The sequence below is a fragment of the Homo sapiens genome, chromosome 17 (genome assembly GCF_000001405.40).
Source record: "Homo sapiens chromosome 17, GRCh38.p14 Primary Assembly".
Lineage (NCBI taxonomy): Eukaryota > Metazoa > Chordata > Mammalia > Primates > Hominidae > Homo > Homo sapiens.
In genome coordinates this window covers 82,138,831-82,158,257 of record NC_000017.11, presented here as the reverse complement: position 1 = coordinate 82,158,257, position 19,427 = coordinate 82,138,831, and the positions used below count along the sequence as shown (strand labels likewise).

The following is a 19,427-nucleotide window of genomic DNA, read 5'->3' as shown; positions in this document are numbered from 1 at the left end:
CTGGGAGGAGGCTCAGGAAGGGGTTTCGAGGCGCTCTGCCTCAGTCCATGCACGGATTCTCCCCACCAGCCTAGGAGTCCAGAGCAGGGCACAGGGGAACTGCCAGGGCCAGCTGGGCGGGGCAGGAGGAGCAGTGGCCGTGGTTGGGGGCAGAGGGCTGAGGGCAGTTGCATCCAGCTGGGGAGGAGGCCCTGACCCCGGGCTCCCCGTTCTTTCCCGGCACTCACAGCGCTTCCTGTCAGTGCCCAGGGGCCTGCTCCAGCCCAGCCACTGCCTCATTCCTCACACTGCCTTTGAAATGACCCCTAGGTGCTGCGGGAACCCCTGGAGCCGGCCGCTCTCCAGCGTGAGCTTCCCCGTGAGGTGGACCAGGTACACCTGGAGGTTTTGGAGCTGCGGAAGCAGGTGGCTGAGCTGGGGAAGCATCTCAGGATAGCCCAGCACGGGGGAGCGGAGCCTTCAGGCAGGAAGCAGCCCCCAGCCTCGGACGCCGTGGCCCTTGGGAGAGAGGTGGGTGCCCGCTAGCTCCTCCTGCCACCCGCCGAGGTTCCTGCCACAGAAACCGTCCTTGCCTGTGCTCTGCCAGCGTTGCTGTCTGTATGCCCTGGGAGCTCAGGTGGGACGAGGGCTGCAGTGAAGGCCGTGCCTGGAAGTGGGCCCTGCTCCACCCCCTCTCCCCATTCCTCCGCCTTCTTCCTCCACACGCCTCCTCTTCTCCTGGTCCTTCACCTTGATGCCCCGTTGGTGGGGGGCGGGACGGGCCCATCCCAGTCCTCCCTTCAGCTAACAGCATCTTGTGTTGGAAACGCACACACTGAAGGTGGCTCATGTTTGCTTTAATGCAGGGCCTTGACGGCCTGCTGAGGGGGCGTCTGCGTGCACAGCCATGCCTGCCCCATGCCTAGCGTTGGGCCCTCCCTGCGTGGGGAGGGGCCCACATGGCCCTCACTGCTGCGTTCAGAGCCACACAGCTGCTCCAGGCCATGGCACTCCTATCCTGGTTTTGGTCAGGCCCTTGGCCCCGAGGGAGTGACCCCCAACTCCATGGCTGGGTTTGAGCCACAGCTCTGAGCTGTGGAGACGACCCCAGGTCCTGATTCTGCAGCTTGGCAGAGCCGACCAGCAGGGCCCCCTTCTTCCTACCTAAGGCCAGAGGGAAAGGCTGTGAAGGACAGGCTGCCCGGCCTCCCTGACTTCGTACCCTAGACTGTTGGTAACTGGGATAACTGTAGTGACCTATGACCTGTGGTAACCTATAGTTACCAATAGTGACCTATGAATCCACAGAAGGTTTTGGGGACAGTAGATGATGTCTGGAAAGCACAAAGTGGAAGACAGCGTGGATCCCCAGGGCACCGTGCTTGGGGAGCAGATCCCCAGGGACTCAGGCTGGAATAGAGTGGACTGAGGAAGATGCGGCCGTGGCTGTCTCAGGCTCCAGGACAGTGAGGAGCAGGCCAGAGCTGCCTTGGCATGGGATGGGCAAGACCATAAGGATGCCTCAGGGGTACAACAGGGCAGGTATGGGAAGGCCGAGGGAGCCTGAGGCCCTAGCAGGTGCTCAGCCAGTGCGCACAGGAAGGGCTGAGCTGGTCGGTAAGATATTGAGCTGCACCTGCCCCTGTACCTGTTGGTAAGGAGGTCTTGTCCTCAGGGGTCTCCAGCACCCTAGCCCTCCTGGGCTCCCAGTCCAGCCACTCCAGGGTGGCTCCTGCCCGGTGGGGGCTGTGGCCCTTGGGCCAGCTGGCAGCACAGCCAGGGGTAAGCATGTCTGTACCCCCACACATCTCCCACCCACCTGAGCGCCATGTGTTCCCGGACACGGGCGGGCGCCTCCTTGGGCAGCAAGGGGCCCCAGGAGCTCTCACTGTTGGCCCTTGCGTAGTTCACTGTCTTCCCACTTGTTTAGAATGAAGGGGCAAGAATTTATACAAATAAGCAGAATTTTTTCTTTCTTTTTTTTTTTTGAGACAGAGTCTCACACTGTCGCCCAATCTGGAGTGCACTGGCGCTATCTTGGCTCACTGCAACCTCCTCCTCCCGGGTTCAAGCAATTCTCCCGCCTCAGCCCCCTGAGTAGCTGGGATTACAGGTGCACCACGCCCGGCCAATTTTTGTGTTTTCAGTAGAGACAGGGTTTCACCATGTTGGCCAGGCTGGTCTCAAACTCCTGGTTTCAAGTGATCTGCCTGCCTCAGTCCCCCAAAGTGGTGGGATTACAGGTGGGATTATAGGCACAGTGGCCCACTGTGCCTGGCCCAAATAAGCAGAATTTTAAATTGAGAGATGAAGCCACCTGCAGCCCAATCCCAGTTATTGGAGCTAAGGCACAGGCGGGGCATACACTCCAGGCTCTGTGTCTACATGCATGGAGGCGACAGTCGGGCTCCAGGCTCCTCCTGGGTCTGAGCATCCTGTGGCCGGGCTCTCCACCCAGGCGAGGCCCACCTGGGCTCTGTCCTCTGCCAAGCAGCATGGCTGAGCTCCTGGAGACGAGGGCGGGCCCAGGTCCTTGCTGCTTGCTGCTGGGAAAGGAGCCCAGACGGAGAAGGGGCCATGTTGGGGCTGGACCCTCAGGTAGAGGATCAATGTGTCCGTTATGTTGGGTATAGAGAGAAGTGGGTAGAGCTGCATGTGCATCTGATCCCAGCTCTGTCCTGAGAGGGCCCACAGCCCGGACTCAGCCACAGCAGATGCCAGTTCCACAGTTCCAGGCGCTAGTTCCATGGTTCCTGCCCTGCTCACAGGAGCCCGGGCTCTAGCATGGAGGCAGGTTCGGAAGGCACAGGAAGCAGCTGAAAGGGGTCCCCAAGGACCAGAACTAGGCCAATAGGCAGTGACGTTGAAGACCACAATCCACTGACTCAACCAGGAAATCATGGGTCCAGGCTGATAGCAATGGACAGATCGGTCAGGGGAACGGGGCACTCTTCCACGCGAGAGTGCCAGCCAAGGAACGCGACAGGAACGGCGCGCCGGGCGACCACGGATGGGTGCTGAACCAGAGGGATTCCCATCAGACGGATGCGAAGCAGCATCTCCCCACACGTGACTTCTTATTTCCAAGGGAAATGCTGGCTTTCCAGTGGAGCAGCCTGTTTGACCCCAGCTGACCCGAGTGATCAGAGCTCCCATCGCCAGTGCTGGGATGCGCCCGTGTCACGCGCCTCTGGGCGGGTCGCACTGAGACGGCACAGACTCGCGCTCGGGGTCCCTGCCAAAAATGCAGAACCTGAGCTTATGCATGAGGAGACCTCAGGCAAGCCCAAACAGAGGGACATCTGCAGATGAGCGGGTCTAGATGCTTGGCGAGTGCCCAAACATGGAAGCTGGGGAGCCACTCCAGTTAGGAGACCTGGGAGACCCCATGTAGAAATGCCAGGTGGGACCCTGGACCCTGCACAGGAGAGACAGCGTCAGGGCATCATCTGTAGAAACGCCACGTGGGACCCTGGGCTCTGTACAGGAGAGACGGGCATCAAGTCATCATCCGTAGAAACGCCACGTGGGACCCTGGACCCTGCACAGGAGAGACGGCGTCAGGGCATCATCCGTAGAAACACCACGTGGGACCCTGGACCCTGCACAGGAGAGACGGTGTCAGGGCATCATCTGTAGAAACACCATGTGGGACCATGGACCCTGCACAGGAGAGACAGTGTAGAAATGCCACGTGGGACCCTGGACCCTGCACAGGAGAGATGGCGTCAGGGCGTTATCTGGACGGTTGGTGACATTTGCACACGGGCCACGGACCAGGTCACGTATTGTGTACACCCACCCAAGTACTGAGGTGTGACGCGGCACTGCGTCTCCAGCCTACCTCCTGTAGTGCAGGAAGCCAGTGCAGGGTGGGTGAGGAAGTGCACAGGGGTCCAGGGACTGTCCCACAGCACTCCTGACGAAAGCTGGTCCCCTTCCACGGCCCTAGCCAAGGAGCCAGGTCTGCAAAGCTGGGACCAGGTGTGTGCGGAGGCACGTGTTCCCACTTCTCCCATGGCAGAGGGAGAGCCTGTGGACAACAGTGGGGCACTCTGCTCCCAGGCAGGTCCCACTGGGCTGAGCCGCACAGCCTGGCTTTGGGCTTCCCTGACTGCACCACCCACATCAGCTGCCTCTAGCCCTTAAAATACAAAACTTCCCCCAGTCACTGGCCGCCAGGGCTGAGTTGGGGGATGTGTTACATCCCTGGGTCCACTGGGGGGCAGTGTTGGCCATGGTGTTGGTGCTGGCTCTGCCGAGAGGCGTTGGAGTGGCTGTGTGGGGCGGTGAGCGCCGGCCCAGCCTGATGGAACCCACTGTACCAGGCCCAGGCCTCAGCCTCTGAGAAGGACTTCCCTGTGTCACTCACTCATACATGTCCTCAGGACGTGAAGACATTTCAGCAGACCAAAGTTTCCTTCGAATTTTCTTCGAATCGTCCAGATACTTGGAGACATCTCCTCCTCACCTGTGGGGTGCTGGGGCAGTCCTAGGCGTGGGGGCAGATGGGTGGACAGCTGCTGCTGCCCTGCTGGGGGTGGGCAGCCCTTGGAGCACACAGTGGTGAAGACATTCCTGAATATGTCTCAGGCTGTAGAAATCTTATTTTGTGGAAAGATTTTAGAGAATCATCAAAATAAACTTTTACCAAATAACATTTTACCAGAAACTGAATCCGAGAGAAGTAGAATCGTTCACTCCCTGCCCCCCAGGTCACTGTGTGCAGAATCACGTGACTAGGACATGGGCCCTGTGATCCATGCCCTCCTTCCTTTGCCTGTGGGGTCAACAGCAAGAAGGCCCCTCAGTGCCCCTCAAGCCTGGCACCAGCCGCAGGGCCTGGTGTAACTTTGCAGGGAGAGGGGACTGCTTTTGAAGACGGAATTTTCTCTTAAATCTCTAAGTGTTTTGAGGTTTGCAAAATCTGTTTTCGGGATTGTTCTTTCTTCAGTTAAAATAACAAAATAACCCAGTGTGTTCCTGTAGAGGATCCAGGGTTTTAGAACCGGACTTGCGAGTCTCACCTGCCTGGCCCCTCTCCCCCAGCCCCAGGCCATCTGCAATCTGTTTTACCAGCACAGGCCTCCCTTCCTCTCCCTCTGCCTTGGCCTCTCCCACACCCAAGAGCCCATTCCTGTCTATTCTCCCAGGGTGGTGAGTGAGCCTCTGCACCACACTTGCCAAGGGTGCTCACGGAGCAGGCATGAGGCCCGCTTACTGGAGGAAGCGAGTCTGGACTCGGGCTCAGGCCTGTGGCGAGCCTTCATGGGGGCTGCCCTGCACCCGTCCTCAGCTGGGGCCTGCGGCACCATAGAACTTTCTCTGTCCAAGAGGAAAGCAGACATCTCTCCCCTTCGATGTGTCATCCCCCGCGGCCCCCGAGCGTCCCACATGAACCTGCGGCACATGCCCGGAGGCACTGCATACAGTGGCTGCACCCCAGGCCATCCAAAGAACAGCAGCACCTGGAAGGCAGCAGCACCTGCCAGCCCTGGAAAGGCACACCAGGAAGCTGGCGGGGACAGGGTGTGCTGGCCTGTTCCAGGAACTCGGAGCTCATGTGGCCAGGGCCAGGTGCAGCCTGGCTCCTTACAGGGGCCAGGAGTGGCACGGGAGAAGTAGGTCGTCGGCTCCCGTCTTGCCAGGGCCTGGACACTACTGCTTTTTCCTGTGCCCCCATTTTTGGTCCAGGCATCCCTTTGTGTTGGGATTGCACTCTGTAGCACTGGAATGATGTGGGCTGCAAGTCCAGGTTGGGCTGAGTGAGGACAACACAGTGCTTCCCAGGGGCTCAGATCTAGGGTTGACCCAGGCTTGGGGTGCTAAGGGGGAGCCCAGCCAGCTCCTGCCCCTGTGTCGGCCTCCTCCCTCTCCACTGCCTTTGTGCTCCCCCTGCACCTGCTTCAGGAGGGAAGCCACAGCCGGCCTGCAGGGTGGTTGTGGGGTGTCCAGCTGGCAGGTAGAGAAAGGAGGGACCCCAAGGAGTGGAGGAGGGCCAAGCCACGCTGGCGGGAGCTGTCCTCCTGGGTCCTGGGCACTGCTAGAGGCCACAGCCTTCTCTCTGCTCTCCCTGGGCCGCCTTCCTGGGTCCTGGGCACTGCTGGAGGCCACAGCCTTCTCTCTGCTCTCCCTGGGGAGCTGCTGTGCTGGTTGGGTGTCCTCAGATTCTCCTTGTGTTCACTTGAAAGACACAAAGGCATAGATGACCAGAAGGCAGGGATGGCGGGGAGGAGGCGGAGGGCTGTGAGGGCCTGGGAGATCTGGGGGCCACCCTGGCCTGGGAGATCTGTGGGCCTTTATTCTATTTGTGGAAGAGAAGGAACCCACTGAAGCACTGGGAGCAGCGACTCTTTTTGTCTTTCTTTTGGAAGGATGTCACCCAGTGACAGCCAGCAGTGCCCACCCTGGAAGAGCAGGTGAAGAGGCTCCTTGGGTGGGCACCCCTGGCGTCCTCCCATGAGGGCAGCCTCACAGGGGTGTCTGCCTGTGAGTTTTGTTACAGGGCCTCACCAAGAGAGGGCCTATGGAGGCCGAGGACCAGGGGGAGCTTTTCCTGCACCTCCGGTCAGTGGCACGTGCCCCCCAGACCTTATCTATGCACCGACTCCAGAGAAAGCTGAAGGAGGCAGCCAGAAAAATCATCAGCCTCCGCCTGGAGAAAGAGCAGCTCATCGAGATGGGGAACAGGCTCCGTGCAGAGCTGGGCCGACCCGAAAGTGAGTCCGGGAAGTGGAGGCCATGGCCTGAGTGTGGGTCAGGTTCTGGGTGTGCACCTGGTTCTGGGTGTGCGCCAGGTTCTGGATGTGGGTCAGATTCTGGGGGTGCACCAGGTTCTGGATGTGGGTCAGATTCTGGGGGTGCGCCAGGTTCTGGGTGTGGGTCAGGTTCTGGGTGTGTGCCAGGTTCTGGGTGTGTGCCAGGTTCTGGGTGTGCACCTGGTTCTGGGTGTGCATCTGGTTCTGGGTGCGGGTCAGGTTCTGGGTATGCGCCTGGTTCTGGGTGCGGGTCAGGTTCTGGGTGTGTGCCAGGTTCTGGGTGTGTGCCAGGTTCTGGGTGTGGGTCAGGTTCTGGATGTGCGCCTGGTTCTGGGTGTGCGCCTGGTTCTGGGTGTGCGCCTGGTTCTAGGTGCGGGTCAGGTTCTGGGTGTGCGCCTGGTTCTGGGTGTGGGTCAGGTTCTGGGTGTGCACCAGGTTCTGAGTGTGCGCCTGGTTCTGGGTGCGGGTCAGGTTCTGGGTGTGCGCCAGGTTCTGGGTGTGTGCCAGGTTCTGGGTGTGTGCCTGGTTCTGGGTGTGTGCCTGGTTCTAGGTGCAGGTCAGGTTCTGGGTGTGCGCCTGGTTCTGGGTGTGCGCCTGGTTCTGGGTGCGGGTCAGGTTCTGGGTGTGGGTCAGGTTCTGGGTGTGCACCAGGTTCTGGGTGTGCGCCTGGTTCTGGGTGCGGGTCAGGTTCTGAGTGTGCGCCTGGTTCTGGGTGTGGGTCAGGTTCTGGGTGTGCACCAGGTTCTGAGTGTGCGCCTGGTTCTGGGTGCGGGTCAGGTTCTGGGTGTGTGCCAGGTTCTAGGTGTGCGCCTGGTTCTGAGTGTGTGCCTGGTTCTAGGTGCGGGTCAGGTTCTGGGTGTGCGCCTGGTTCTGGGTGTGCTCCTGGTTCTGGGTGTGCACCAGGTTCTGGGTGTGCGCTTGGTTCTGGGTGCGGGTCAGGTTCTGAGTGTGCGCCTGGTTCTGGGTGTGGGTCAGGTTCTGGATGTGCACCAGGTTCTGAGTGTGCGCCTGGTTCTGGGTGCGGGTCAGGTTCTGGGTGTGTGCCAGGTTCTGGGTGTGCGCCTGGTTCTGGGTGTGTGCCTGGTTCTAGGTGCGGGTCAGGTTCTGGGTGTGCGCCTGGTTCTGGGTGTGCGCCTGGTTCTGGGTGTGCACCAGGTTCTGGGTGTGCGCCTGGTTCTGGGTGCGGGTCAGGTTCTGAGTGTGCACCTGGTTCTGGGTGTGCACCAGGTTCTGGGTGTGCGCCTGGTTCTGGGTGCGGGTCAGGTTCTGAGTGTGCGCCTGGTTCTGGGTGTGCGCCTGGTTCTGGGTGTGCGCCTGGTTCTAGGTGCGGGTCAGGTTCTGGGTGTGCACCTGGTTCTGGGTGTGGGTCAGGTTCTGGGTGTGCGCCTGGTTCTGGGTGTGCGCCTGGTTCTGGGTGTGGGTCAGGTTCTGGGTGTGCACCAGGTTCTGAGTGTGTGCCTGGTTCTGGGTGGGGGTCACATTCTGGGTGTGTGCCAGGTTCTGGGTGTGCGCCTGGTTCTGGGTGTGCGCCTGGTTCTGGGTGCGGGTCAGGTTCTGAGTGTGCACCTGGTTCTGGATGTGCGCCAGGTTCTGGGTGTGGGCCTTGTTCTGGGTGTGTGCCTGGTTCTGGGTGTGCGCCAGGTTCTGGGTGTGCTCCTGGTTCCGGGTGTGCGCCAGGTTCTGGGTGTGCGCCTGGTTCTGGGTGTGGGTCAGGTTCCGGGTGTGCGCCTGGTTCTGGGTGCGGGCCAGGTTCTGGGTGTGCGCCTGGTTCTGGGTGCGGGTCAGGTTCTGGGTGTGCGCCTGGGGTCAGTGGGAGGGCTCTGGACGCAGCCTTCTCAGGAAGGCCCGAAGGAGCACAGAAGCCCCTCTTGTGAGCGGGGCCTGGTCGGAGGCCACTGCACAGAGCAGGACCTCATCTTAGCTGCGGGCGCTCTGGGGACCCACTTCGCTGGCAGCATTTGTGAGAACAACACCGCAGGTTAGCAAAGCAGCCGGCATTTCTGTGCGGCTCTGTGGTGAGCAGCGAAGATGGCCGCAGACTTCTCCAGGTAAAGGCAGCAGTGTCTCCTGACTGAGGTGGAGGCTGGGCATCTTGGACACAGACACCGGAGCTGACTTCCTAAGAAAGGCAAGGGGCACTGGCTTTATGACTGAGTGTTTCAGTGAGTCATCCATCTGTTCCTCCATGCATCCACCCACCTACCTATCCATCCATCTATCCAACCACCCATCCATCTATCCATCCATTCACCCACCCCCCCCATCCATCCATCCATCCATCTACCCATCTACCCACCCACCCATCCATTCATCCACCCACTCATCCATCCGCCATCCACCCACCCATCCATCCACCCACCTATTTATTCATCCACCCATCCATCCATCCATCCATCCATGCAACCACTTATCCCATCTACCCATCCATCCATCTACCCACCCACCCATCCATCCATCCACCCACCCAACCATCCGTCCACCCACCCATCCATCCATCTACCATCCATCCACCACCCATCCATTCATCCATCTACCCATCTACCCACCCACCCATACATCCATCCATCTACCATCCACCCACCCACCCATCCATCCACCCACCTATCTGTTCATCCATCCATCCATCCAACCATCCAACCACTTATCCCACCCACCCATCCATCTGTCCATCCACCCATCTACCCACCCACCCATCCATCCACCCACCCACCCATCCATCCATCTACCATCTATCCACCCACCTATCTTTCCATCCATCCATCCACCCACCCATTCACCCACCCACCCATCCATGTATCCATCCACCCATCCGTCTGCCCACCCACCCAACCATCCATCCATCTACCCATCCACCCACTCATTCATCTATTCACCCACCCACCCATCCATCTATCCATCTACTCACCCACCCATCCATCTATCCATCTACCATCCACCCACCCATCCATCCACCCACCTATCTATCCATCCATCCATCCACCCACCCATTCATCCATTCACCCACCCACCCATCCATGTATCCACCCACCCATCCATCCACCCACCCACCCACCCAACCATCCATCCATCTACCCATCCACTCACCCATCCATCCACCCACCTATCCATCCATCCATCCACCCACCCATTCATCCATTCACCCACCCACCCATCCACCCATCCATCCACCCACCTATCCATCCATCCATCCATCCACCCACCCATTTATCCATTCACCCACCCATCCATGTATCCATCCACCCATCCATCCATCTACCATCCATCCATCCATCCATCTACCCATCTACCCACCCACCCATCCATCCATCCATCTACCATCCACGCACCCATCTATCCACCCACCTATCTATTCATCCATCCATCCATCCATCCATCCATCCATCCATCCATCCATCTAACCATCCAACCACTTATCCCACCCACCCATCCATCCATCCACCCATCTACCCACCCATCCATCCATCCACCCACCCACCCATCCATCTACCATCCATCCACCCACCTATCTATCCATCCATCCATCCACCCACCCATTCATCCATTCACCCACCCATCCAACCATCCATCCATCTACCCATCCACCCACCCACCCATCCATCTACCATCCATCCACCCACCTATCTATCCATCCATCCATCCACCCACCCATTCATCCATTCACCCACCCATCCAACCATCCATCCATCTACCCATCCACCCACCCATTCATCTATTCACCCACCCACCCACCCATCCATCTATCCATCTACGCACCAACCCATCCATCCATCCATCTACCATCCACCCACCCATCCATCCACCCACCTATCTATCCATCCATCCATCCACCCACCCATTCATCCATTCACCCACCCACCCTTCCATGTATCCATCCACCCATCCATCCACCCACCCGCCCAATCATCCATCCATCTATCCATCCACCCACCCATCCATCCATCCATTCGTACACCCACCCACCCATCCATCTATTAATGTATCCATCCATCCGTCCACCCACCCATCTATCCATCCACCTACCCACACACTCACCTGTCCATCCGTCCATACACCTATCCATCTATCCATCCAACCACTTATCCCACTTATCTATCCATCCATTCACCCACCCATCCATCTGTTCATCTATCCACCCATGTATCCAATTAGCCACTCTCACTCATCCACCAACCCACCCATCCATCTATCCATCCGCCCATCCATCCACCCACCCACCCACCCATTCATCCATCCATTCATCTATCTTTGCATCCACCCATCCATTCATCCATCTATCCATTCATCCATCCATCCATCCACCTACCCATGCACCCACCTATCCATCCATTTATCCAACCACTTATCCCACCCACCTATCCATCCTTTCACTCACCCATCCACCCATCCATCCAATCATCCAGTCACTCATCCACCTACCATCCATATATCCATCCACCCATCCAGTAGAGGAGCCCCTGCTGAGTGCCAGATACTTTCTGCCTTCTTCAGTTCCTATGTCGCCAGGCCCAAATCTGGCTAAAGAGATGTTTCCTCGGCTGTGTGTGGTGGCTCACGCCTGTAATCCTAGCACTTCCCGAGACGAGACTGTGTGTGTGCACGTGCATTTGTATGTGAGACTGTGTGTGTGCACACACGTTTGTTTGCGAGACTGCACAAGCGTTTGTGTGCAAGACTGTGCATGTGCGTTTGTATGTGAGACTGTGTGCACACACGTTTGTGTGTGAGACTGTGCACATACATTTGTATGTGAGACTGTGTGCACACATGCATTTGTATGTTAGACCGTGTGTGTGCATGCATGCACACATCCATAGGGAGGACTCAATGGAAGTTTGTCGATTTATTGGCAATTTAGAGAAGAAAGTAGAGTGAGAAGAGAAGAATGGGGACTTTTGGTTTGGCTTTGATTATACCAAACATACCCCATTTGTTTCTTTTTGGGAAGGCCGTCCTCCCCACCTAAACATTGAGTTCTTAGCTGGGCATGGTGTTGTGTGTCTGAAGTTCCAGCTACTTGGGAGACTGAGGTGGGAGGATTGCTTGAGCGCAGGAGGTCGGGGCTGCAGTGGGTATGATCCTGCCTGTGAATAATCACTGCACTCCAGCCTGGGCAGCACAGGAGATCCAGTCTCTAAAAACATTTAAAAAAATAAAAAAGATGAGTCCTGATTGCAAAGGTTTAGGCAAGACTGACTGGTCTATCTGCATTTTTTTCCTAAGATCACTTATCCGGTTCATAAATGATGTGGCTGCAATCATTAAGTAGTACAGAATGGCCAGCTGTGACAAACATATCATCATTATTCAACGTGGGACAGCCGTCCAGCCAGGGGGCTGAGCAGGACCTGCTCTGCCTGTGGCTGTTTCTAGATGCTTCTCTAGTCCACTTCACAACAGCTACTCTGCCCCAGCACCGGTGGCCCAGGGGTCACCTGCAGCTGCCTCAGTGCATGTCCTCACCTGTCCGCCTCTGGGAAGGGGCCGCATCCCGCAGGGAGCAAGCTGACCGCCACTTCACTGGCTCTCGGCTGCTTTCAGGCATAGAGCCTGTCTCATGCTGCCGGTGCCCATATAGATGGCTGTGGGGGGAGGTGCCGGGGCGTCCCCTGTGCTCTGGTGACACTGGTTCCTGCCAACACCCCATTCAGACTGTGGAGCCAACTCCAGCAGGTGACATGGTGGGCCCCCTCTGAGATAAGGAGCTTCACCTGCCTGCTACAGGGTTCCGGCCGAGACCAGGGCGGGGAGTGAGAACAGCCCCACTCAGGGGCCTGCAGGGGGAAGCAGGAGGCAGGTGCTGTGGGACCCTGCCTGCAGGCCCCTCTGCCCACAGAGTGGGCAGTGCCTGGAGCTCACCCTCCCTCTGCGCCTTCCAGAAATCAGCTGCACATGGCATTTCCTTGATCCTGTAGAAAGCTGGGATTCCTTAAAATGTTGTTTCTAGTAAACTTCTTTATGATAGCTAACTTTTTTTTTTTGAGACAGAATCTCTGTTGCCAAGGCTGGAGTGCAGTGGTGCGATCTCGGCTCACTGCAGCCTCCGCCTCCCGGGTTCCAGCGATTCTATTGCCTCAGCCTCCCAAGTAGCTGGTATTACAGGCGCCCGCCACCATGCCCAGCTAATTTTTGTATTTTTAGTAGAAACGGGGTTTCACCATGTTGGCCAGGCTGGTCTCATACTCATGACCTCAAGTGATCTGCCCACCTCAGCCTCCCAAAGTGCTGGGATTACAGGTGTGAGCCACCGCCTGATCACCTGAGGTCAAGAGTTTGAGACCAGCCTGGCCAACATGATGAAACCCCGTCTCTACTAAAAATACAAAAAAAAAAAAATTAGCCAAGTGTTGGGGCACGTGCCTGTAATCCCAGCTACTCGGGCGGCTGAGGCAGGAGAATCTCGAACCCGAGAGGTGGAGTTTGCTGTGAGCCAAGATCAAGCCACTGCACTCCAGCCTGGGTGACAGAGCGAGACTCTGTCTCAAAAAAAAAAAAAAGAAAAAAAAAAAGAAAAGAAATAAAATTGATTTGGAGGGCCAATCTAAATAGGTAAAAGGATTTCCTGTTTTAAATTTGTGCTTCTTTAATTTTGTGTGTATGTAGGGGGCTTACTGTGGGGCCACTTGTATTTTATCGTCATGTCATTTTCCTGCTGAGTCTTTAATGCATCGGGAAATGATCTAGTGAAAAAGAACAAATTAGGGATCTCGCTTTGTTGTTTCCCAATAGTTGGCAGCTGACTCAATACTCTTTATTAGGCATATGTGCATAAATAGTAAAGTATCTATTTACATTTAATTTATTAGTTAAATGACACGTACGTATTTAAAATCTTATAACAATATATTGAGTTGGAAGTAATAACTTTTGCTCACATTTTATGAAACAGTTGATTGAAGCTCTTCCCAGGCCTGCTCCTTGACCTCGGTTCCCTGTTTACCACAGTGGGGTCTTCCAGGAGCCTGGAGAGCAGTTGATCGGACACAAGGCTTTATACTCAGACTCAGGTACAAGGCAGCCCCATCTTTTCTAGGAAAGAGAAAAGGGAAATGGACTTTTATTCAGGGATCTCTGCCCTTTGCTTTGTCAGTTCCTTCAGCAAGAGTCTGTGGGGAGTACATGCTATGTATCTGTAGATGACTTTCTAGAATGATGGTTTAGCTGGAAATAGAATTTTCTGTATGTTGACATTTTTCTACTACTTTTTTTTTTAAAAGAGATGGGGTCTCGCTCTGACACCCAGGCTGGCATGGTGGTGCCATCGTAGCTCACTATAGTCTCTATTTCTTGGGCTAAAGCAATCTTCCTGCCTTAGCCTCCCAAGTAGCTGGGACTACAGATGCATGCCATCATGCCCGGCTCAACTTCTTTTCAAGATAATATTCTTATGTCTTCAGAGAGGTCAGCCATCAGTCTGATCTCAGTGCCTTTGGGGAAGCTGTTTTTTGTTTTGTTTTGTTTTGTTTTTGAGATGGAATCTTGCTGTCTGTTGCCCAGGCTGGAGTGCAGTGACATGATCATGGCCCAGTGCAAACTCCACCTCCCGGGTTCAGCCTAGCTAATTTTTTTTTTTTTTTTTTGTATTTTTAGTAGAGACAGGTTTCACCATGTTGGCCAGGCTGGTCTCGAACTCCTGAGCTCAAGCAATCCACCCGCCTTGGCCTCCTGAAGTTCTGGGATTACAGGTGTGAGCCACTGCGCCCGGCCTGGGGAAGCTGTTTTTAGACTTTTCTCCCAATCTGTTAGGTGCTCCTGTTTTACCATTGTTGTGTCTAAGTGTGGATTTGTTTCCCTGAATCCTGCTCAGGAATCTGTATGTTTTTTAAATTTTAGGACCAAATTTTAGGTTGGTTGGCTGGTTGTTTTTCTATTCTTTAAAATTCTCAGTCATTGTTTTTCAAACACTGCTTTCTTCCATTTCTGTCTAATCTCTTCTGGAGATCTTACGGGGCATGTCAGACGTGCTCCCTGACACGTGTGTGTGCGTGTGGGGTGTGTGCGCGTGTGGGGTGTGTGCACGTGTGGGGTGTGTGTGTGTGCCTGTGTGTGTGTAAGAGCACCCCTCCCCCTTTCCAGGGGTTTCCTCAAAGGTCGCTGTCTGGAACCACTGGATGGTTTCAGTATCTTGACCAGAAGTAATTCCCATTCCATCTTTTCTCTTTTTGTTCTTGTGTTTATTTTATTGTTCTTCTCCTGATTTCTTAGATTGAATGTTTCACATTTATTTTTATTCTTTCTTGCTTAGTAATTGCATTTCTTAAGGTGAGAGTTTTCATGAGTATCACTTTGGCCAAGCCCCAGAGGTTTTGAGGGATAGTACTGTCAGTGTAATCATTGTCTCTATAGCCTGCCATTGTGGGCTTTTTTTTTTTTGACGGAGTTTCACTCTTGTTGCCATTGTAGAGTGCAATGGCGCGATCTACAACCTCCGCCTCATGGGATCAAGCAATTCTCCTGCCTCGGCCTTGAGTAGCTGAGACTACAGGCATGTGCCACCACGCCCGGCTAGTTTTGTATTTTTAGTAGAGACGGGGTTTCTCCATGTTGGTCAGGTTGATCTCGAACTCCTGACCTCAGGTGATCCACCCACCTCGGCCTCCCAAAGTGCTGGGATTACAGGCGTGAGCCACGTACCCGGCCAGTGTGGGCTGTTTTTCTATTTCACGAGCTACTTGTTAGGGGGAATTTCAGAATTCCTTTGGTTATTTATTAAACCAAATGTGCGGAATACTACTTTTTATTTTATTCTATTTAACAACCATATTAAATATACGTATTGATATTCTTTATAAATTTATTTATGCTCCTCAATTTGAACTGCCAAAAGCCACAAAGTGTTAAAATCCTCCATTGCTCCTGTGATTTTGTCCATTTCTCCTTCTCACCATCATGTTTTATAAATTTCAGTGCTAGGCCGGGCATAGCGGCTCACGCCTATAATCCCAGCACTTTGGGAGGCTGAGGCAGGCAGATCACGAGGTCAGGAGTTCAAGACCAACCTGGCCAACACAGTGAAATCCCCATCTCTACTAAAAATATAAAAATTAGCCGGGCTTGGTGTTGCGCGCCTATAGTCCCAGCTACTCGGGAGGCTGAGGCAGAAGAATCGCTTGATCCTGGGAGGCAGAGGTTGCAGTGAGCTGAGATCACGCCACTGCACTCCAGCCTGGGCGACAAAGCAAGACTCCGTCTCAAGAAAAAAAAAAAACAAACACAACTTCAGTGCTGTGTTACTTAGAGCAGAAATGTTCAGGACAGCTATGGCTCATCCTGGTTCATAATACAGTGTCCTTACTGAGGTTTAACTGTGTCCAGCAATACTTATTTAACTATGCGTTAAAAGATAATTTTCAGAAAGAAGTAAAATGTGGCTCCCAAATATGAAAAATGAGCATTTGTTTAGGATTGTATTCTGTTCATTAAACAATGAGGAAACTGGACAGATGCTGTAACCAGTTCCAAGGAAAGGTCAAAAAAGCACAAATCTACATGGAGTAAAAGAATCGAGTTTCAGATGGAGGCAGAACTGGTTCTGGTAGAGGGGAGAGGCAGGCAGGGCAGAATCCGCATGCCTATCAGTGGTAAAATCGCAAAGCAGCTCAAATCGCAAAGACAATGAGGGGCTGGACGCAGATAACCCAGTGGAAGTGCAGTAGACAAAGCAGTTTCTACGGAAGCTCATTTTTTTTCCCTACAGTTTCTCTGCTTTTGATGGAAAGTAATCTCAAAGAAAGGTGTTTTTTCCCCGGGCATCAGACAGGTAATGTGCGGATGTCGGATGTTGTAACAAGGCTTGAGGGAGGCACAGCTCACACGTCTGCATGAAAACCCAATCATCAGGCGGATGAACCACAAAAGGATCAGAAAGGTTGTTCCTGATCTCACAAAATGGAGCTGGTTTGTAGATGGCTTGGTTATTTCCATAGGTGCAGCGAGAGTGCTAATTCACCATCTCTGCATTCTTAAGTTTGCTTTCTTAGAAGTTTCCGTAAAGAATTTCAGATTGACTTTTAAAAGCCTCTTTAAAAAATAATTTTAGGGCAGTCGCGGTGGCTCACGCCTGTAATCCCAACACTTTGGGAGGCCTAGGCAGGTGGACCACGAGGTCCATCAGGAGATCAAGACCAGCCTTGCCAACATGGCAAAACCCTGTCTCTACTAAAAATACAAAAATTAGCCAGCCATGGTGGCAGGTGCCTGTAGTCCCAGCTACTCAGGAGGCTGAGGCAGAAGAATCGCTTGAACCAGGGTGGCAGAGGTTGCAGTGAGCCGAGATCATGCCATTGCACTCCAGCCTGGCAACAAGAGCAAGACTCTGTCTCACAAAAAAAAAAAAAAAAAAAAAATTAGCCGGGCGTGGTGGCACGTGCCTGTCATCCCAGCTACTCAAGAGGCTGAGGCAGGAGAATAGCTTGAACCTGGGAGGCGGAGGTTGCAGTGAGTGGAGATCACACCACTGCACTCCAGCCTGGGTGACAGATCGAGACTCCATCTCAAAAAAAAGAATAAATAAATAAATAATAATAAATAATTTAAAATAAAATAAATAAAAGCCTCTTGCTTGCTGTCCTGAGGCTAGAAAACCAAGCCAAGAACCCGCCAGATTTCACCTGCCCTATAAATTTGAGCAAATTCCTTTCTTAAGGTTTCCAAACTAGCCCAGGTTCCTGGGCCTGCCAGGCAATGCCCTCCAGATGCACCTGCCATCCTACAAGCCAGGCGCTGTGCCGGGTTCTCCTTGGAGGGCTTCGTGGATGTGGGCTCTGTAACATCGCTGTGGTTCCTTACAAGTGGCTGCTGGTGACTGACTAAATGGGCGTCTTCTCAGATTTGGCCTTCCATGCAGGGCCTTGGTTACACAAGAAGTATTTCCAATTCCAGTCCTGGTAAAAAACAAAGATTCTCATTGAAACTATGCAAATAACTATATTACTTTGAAAGTAAGAGTACTCAACAAGTTTCTGAATTCTGGAGGACTCAGGCCGGGAGAGTAAGATATCCCTGGCCGGGCACGGTGGCTCACACCTGTAATCCCGGCACTTTGGGAGGCTGAGGCCGATGGATCAGCTGAGGTCAGGAGTTTGAGACCAGCCTGACCAGCATGGTGAAACTCCATCTCTACTAAAAATACAAAAATTGGTCAGGCGTGGTGGCTCACGCCTGTAATCCCAGCACTTTGGGAGGCCGAGGCAGGCAGATCATGAGGTCAGGACATTGAGACCACCATGGCTAACATGGTGAAACCCCGTCTCTACTAAGAATACAAAAAAATTAGCTGGGCGTGGTGGCGGGCATCTGTAGTCCCAGCTACTCGGGAGGCTGATGGAGGAGAATGGCGTGAACTGGGGAGGCGGAGCTTGCAGTGAGCCGAGATTGCGCTGCTGCACTCCAGCCTGGACAACAGAGCGTGACTCTGTCTCAAAAAAAACAAACAAAAAAAACAAGGTATCACTTACAAATGTTCTGTTTTGATTCACAAAAGCAGAGACTACAAAATTTGTGTGGACTGTACATAGCTTCAGAGGAAAGAGGAAGAGTTCTCTATATATCCAGAAAGTAGAACATTAAAAAAACATCAGCCGTATTCTTAACAAAAGCTGTCATCCTCCACCATCGGTTCATCCCCTCCTGTGAGGTCCGTTCTTGTTCCACTCCATCTTGGTTCTTGGTCTCAACAATCCATCTGCTTCTCGACTAGAGACTGAGTCCTGGGATGGGCTCAGTGTCATCTAAATGCCGCCATCAGAAGCCTGTGCCCATGGTGCCTGCCCAGTCCTTTTCCCAGGCTCTGAGACAGTCCCTGTTCAAGATGAAGAAGCACTCTGAGCTTTCTGGGGAGCATCAGAGTAACACAAAAATCGTGGATGGGGCTGGGCGTGGTGGCTTACGCCTGTAATCCCAGCACTTTGGGAGAATGAGGGAGGTGGATCACCTGAGGTCAGGAATTCCAGATCAGCCTGGTCAACATGGCAAAGCACCATCTCTACTAAAAACACAAAAATTAGCTGGGTGTGGTGGTGGGCACCTGTAATCCCAGCTACTCGAAAGGCTGAGGCACGAGAATTGCTTGAACCCAGGAGGCGGAGGTTGCAGTGAGCCGAGATCCCACCACTGCACTCCAGCCTGGGTCAGGAGTCTTCTTTGAGACTTCGTCTCAAAAAATAAAAATAAAAAAACTGTGGATGACAAAAGACTGCACATGGCCATGGTGAATTTACCACTGCCACTTTTCAAAGTGAAAGGTCTGTTCATAGCAAGAATAATGCAACTGAGAAGGAACATTTGCTTGTCCTGTAGACATCTGGAAACAGAGTCCAAAAAAGAGTTCTAGACAAAGTTAATCCAAGACGTTGACGCTGTTTTCAAAGATGCCAGAAACAGAATATCTGATTTCTAAAACTGGATGAGCATGATTTTTACAGAGGAAATTATTTACAGATAAGTGTGAAGCTGACTATTCCATGACTATACCAAGAATATCCAGTGGAGAGGCAAAAAGTGTGGGGCAGGCGGTGGCCGTCTGCCTAGTAACACAGCCCCAGAGTGAGTGACGGTCGCCCTGCTACAAACTCTGGGCATCAGAGATGCACAGCTCACGTTAAAGTAAGGTGACACCTAAGTTAACGTAACGGCAGTGACGGGGTTTATGCCTGCTAGCTCTGGACTGCTGCCGGCTGACAGCATCTGGCAAAT

At 53.9% G+C, this 19,427-nt stretch overlaps 1 protein-coding gene and 1 pseudogene across 34 annotated transcripts in view, besides 1 other annotated feature; one reads left to right on the top strand and one right to left on the bottom strand.

The window, feature by feature from the left end:
• CCDC57 (coiled-coil domain containing 57) overlaps positions 1-19,427 on the top strand; it is a 111,373-nt gene that overhangs the window by 54,585 nt on the left and 37,361 nt on the right. For 29 of the 34 annotated variants that reach the window (XR_001752485.3, NM_001367828.2, NM_001394669.1 and 26 more), the window contains 2 exons: positions 310-510; positions 6,485-6,698. Coding sequence is in view for 33 of the 34 variants with exons in the window: in NM_001367828.2 (NP_001354757.1) it covers positions 310-510; positions 6,485-6,698 (415 nt within the window). In the remaining variant the exon portion in view is untranslated. Of the gene's footprint in view, positions 1-309; positions 4,657-6,484; positions 6,699-19,427 lie in introns of those variants that run through there. The other 5 variants (NM_198082.4, XM_047435778.1, XM_017024473.2 and 2 more) reach the window with 2 other exon arrangements.
• Positions 8,390-8,449: an enhancer, noted in NCBI's record as "active region_12990". NCBI's record gives its function as "activates an Ori minimal core promoter by ATAC-STARR-seq in GM12878 lymphoblastoid cells {active_cell/tissue: GM12878}" and the evidence as "EXISTENCE:reporter gene assay evidence [ECO:0000049][PMID:35858748]".
• LOC124904119 (uncharacterized) lies at positions 16,485-16,595 on the bottom strand (annotated as a pseudogene).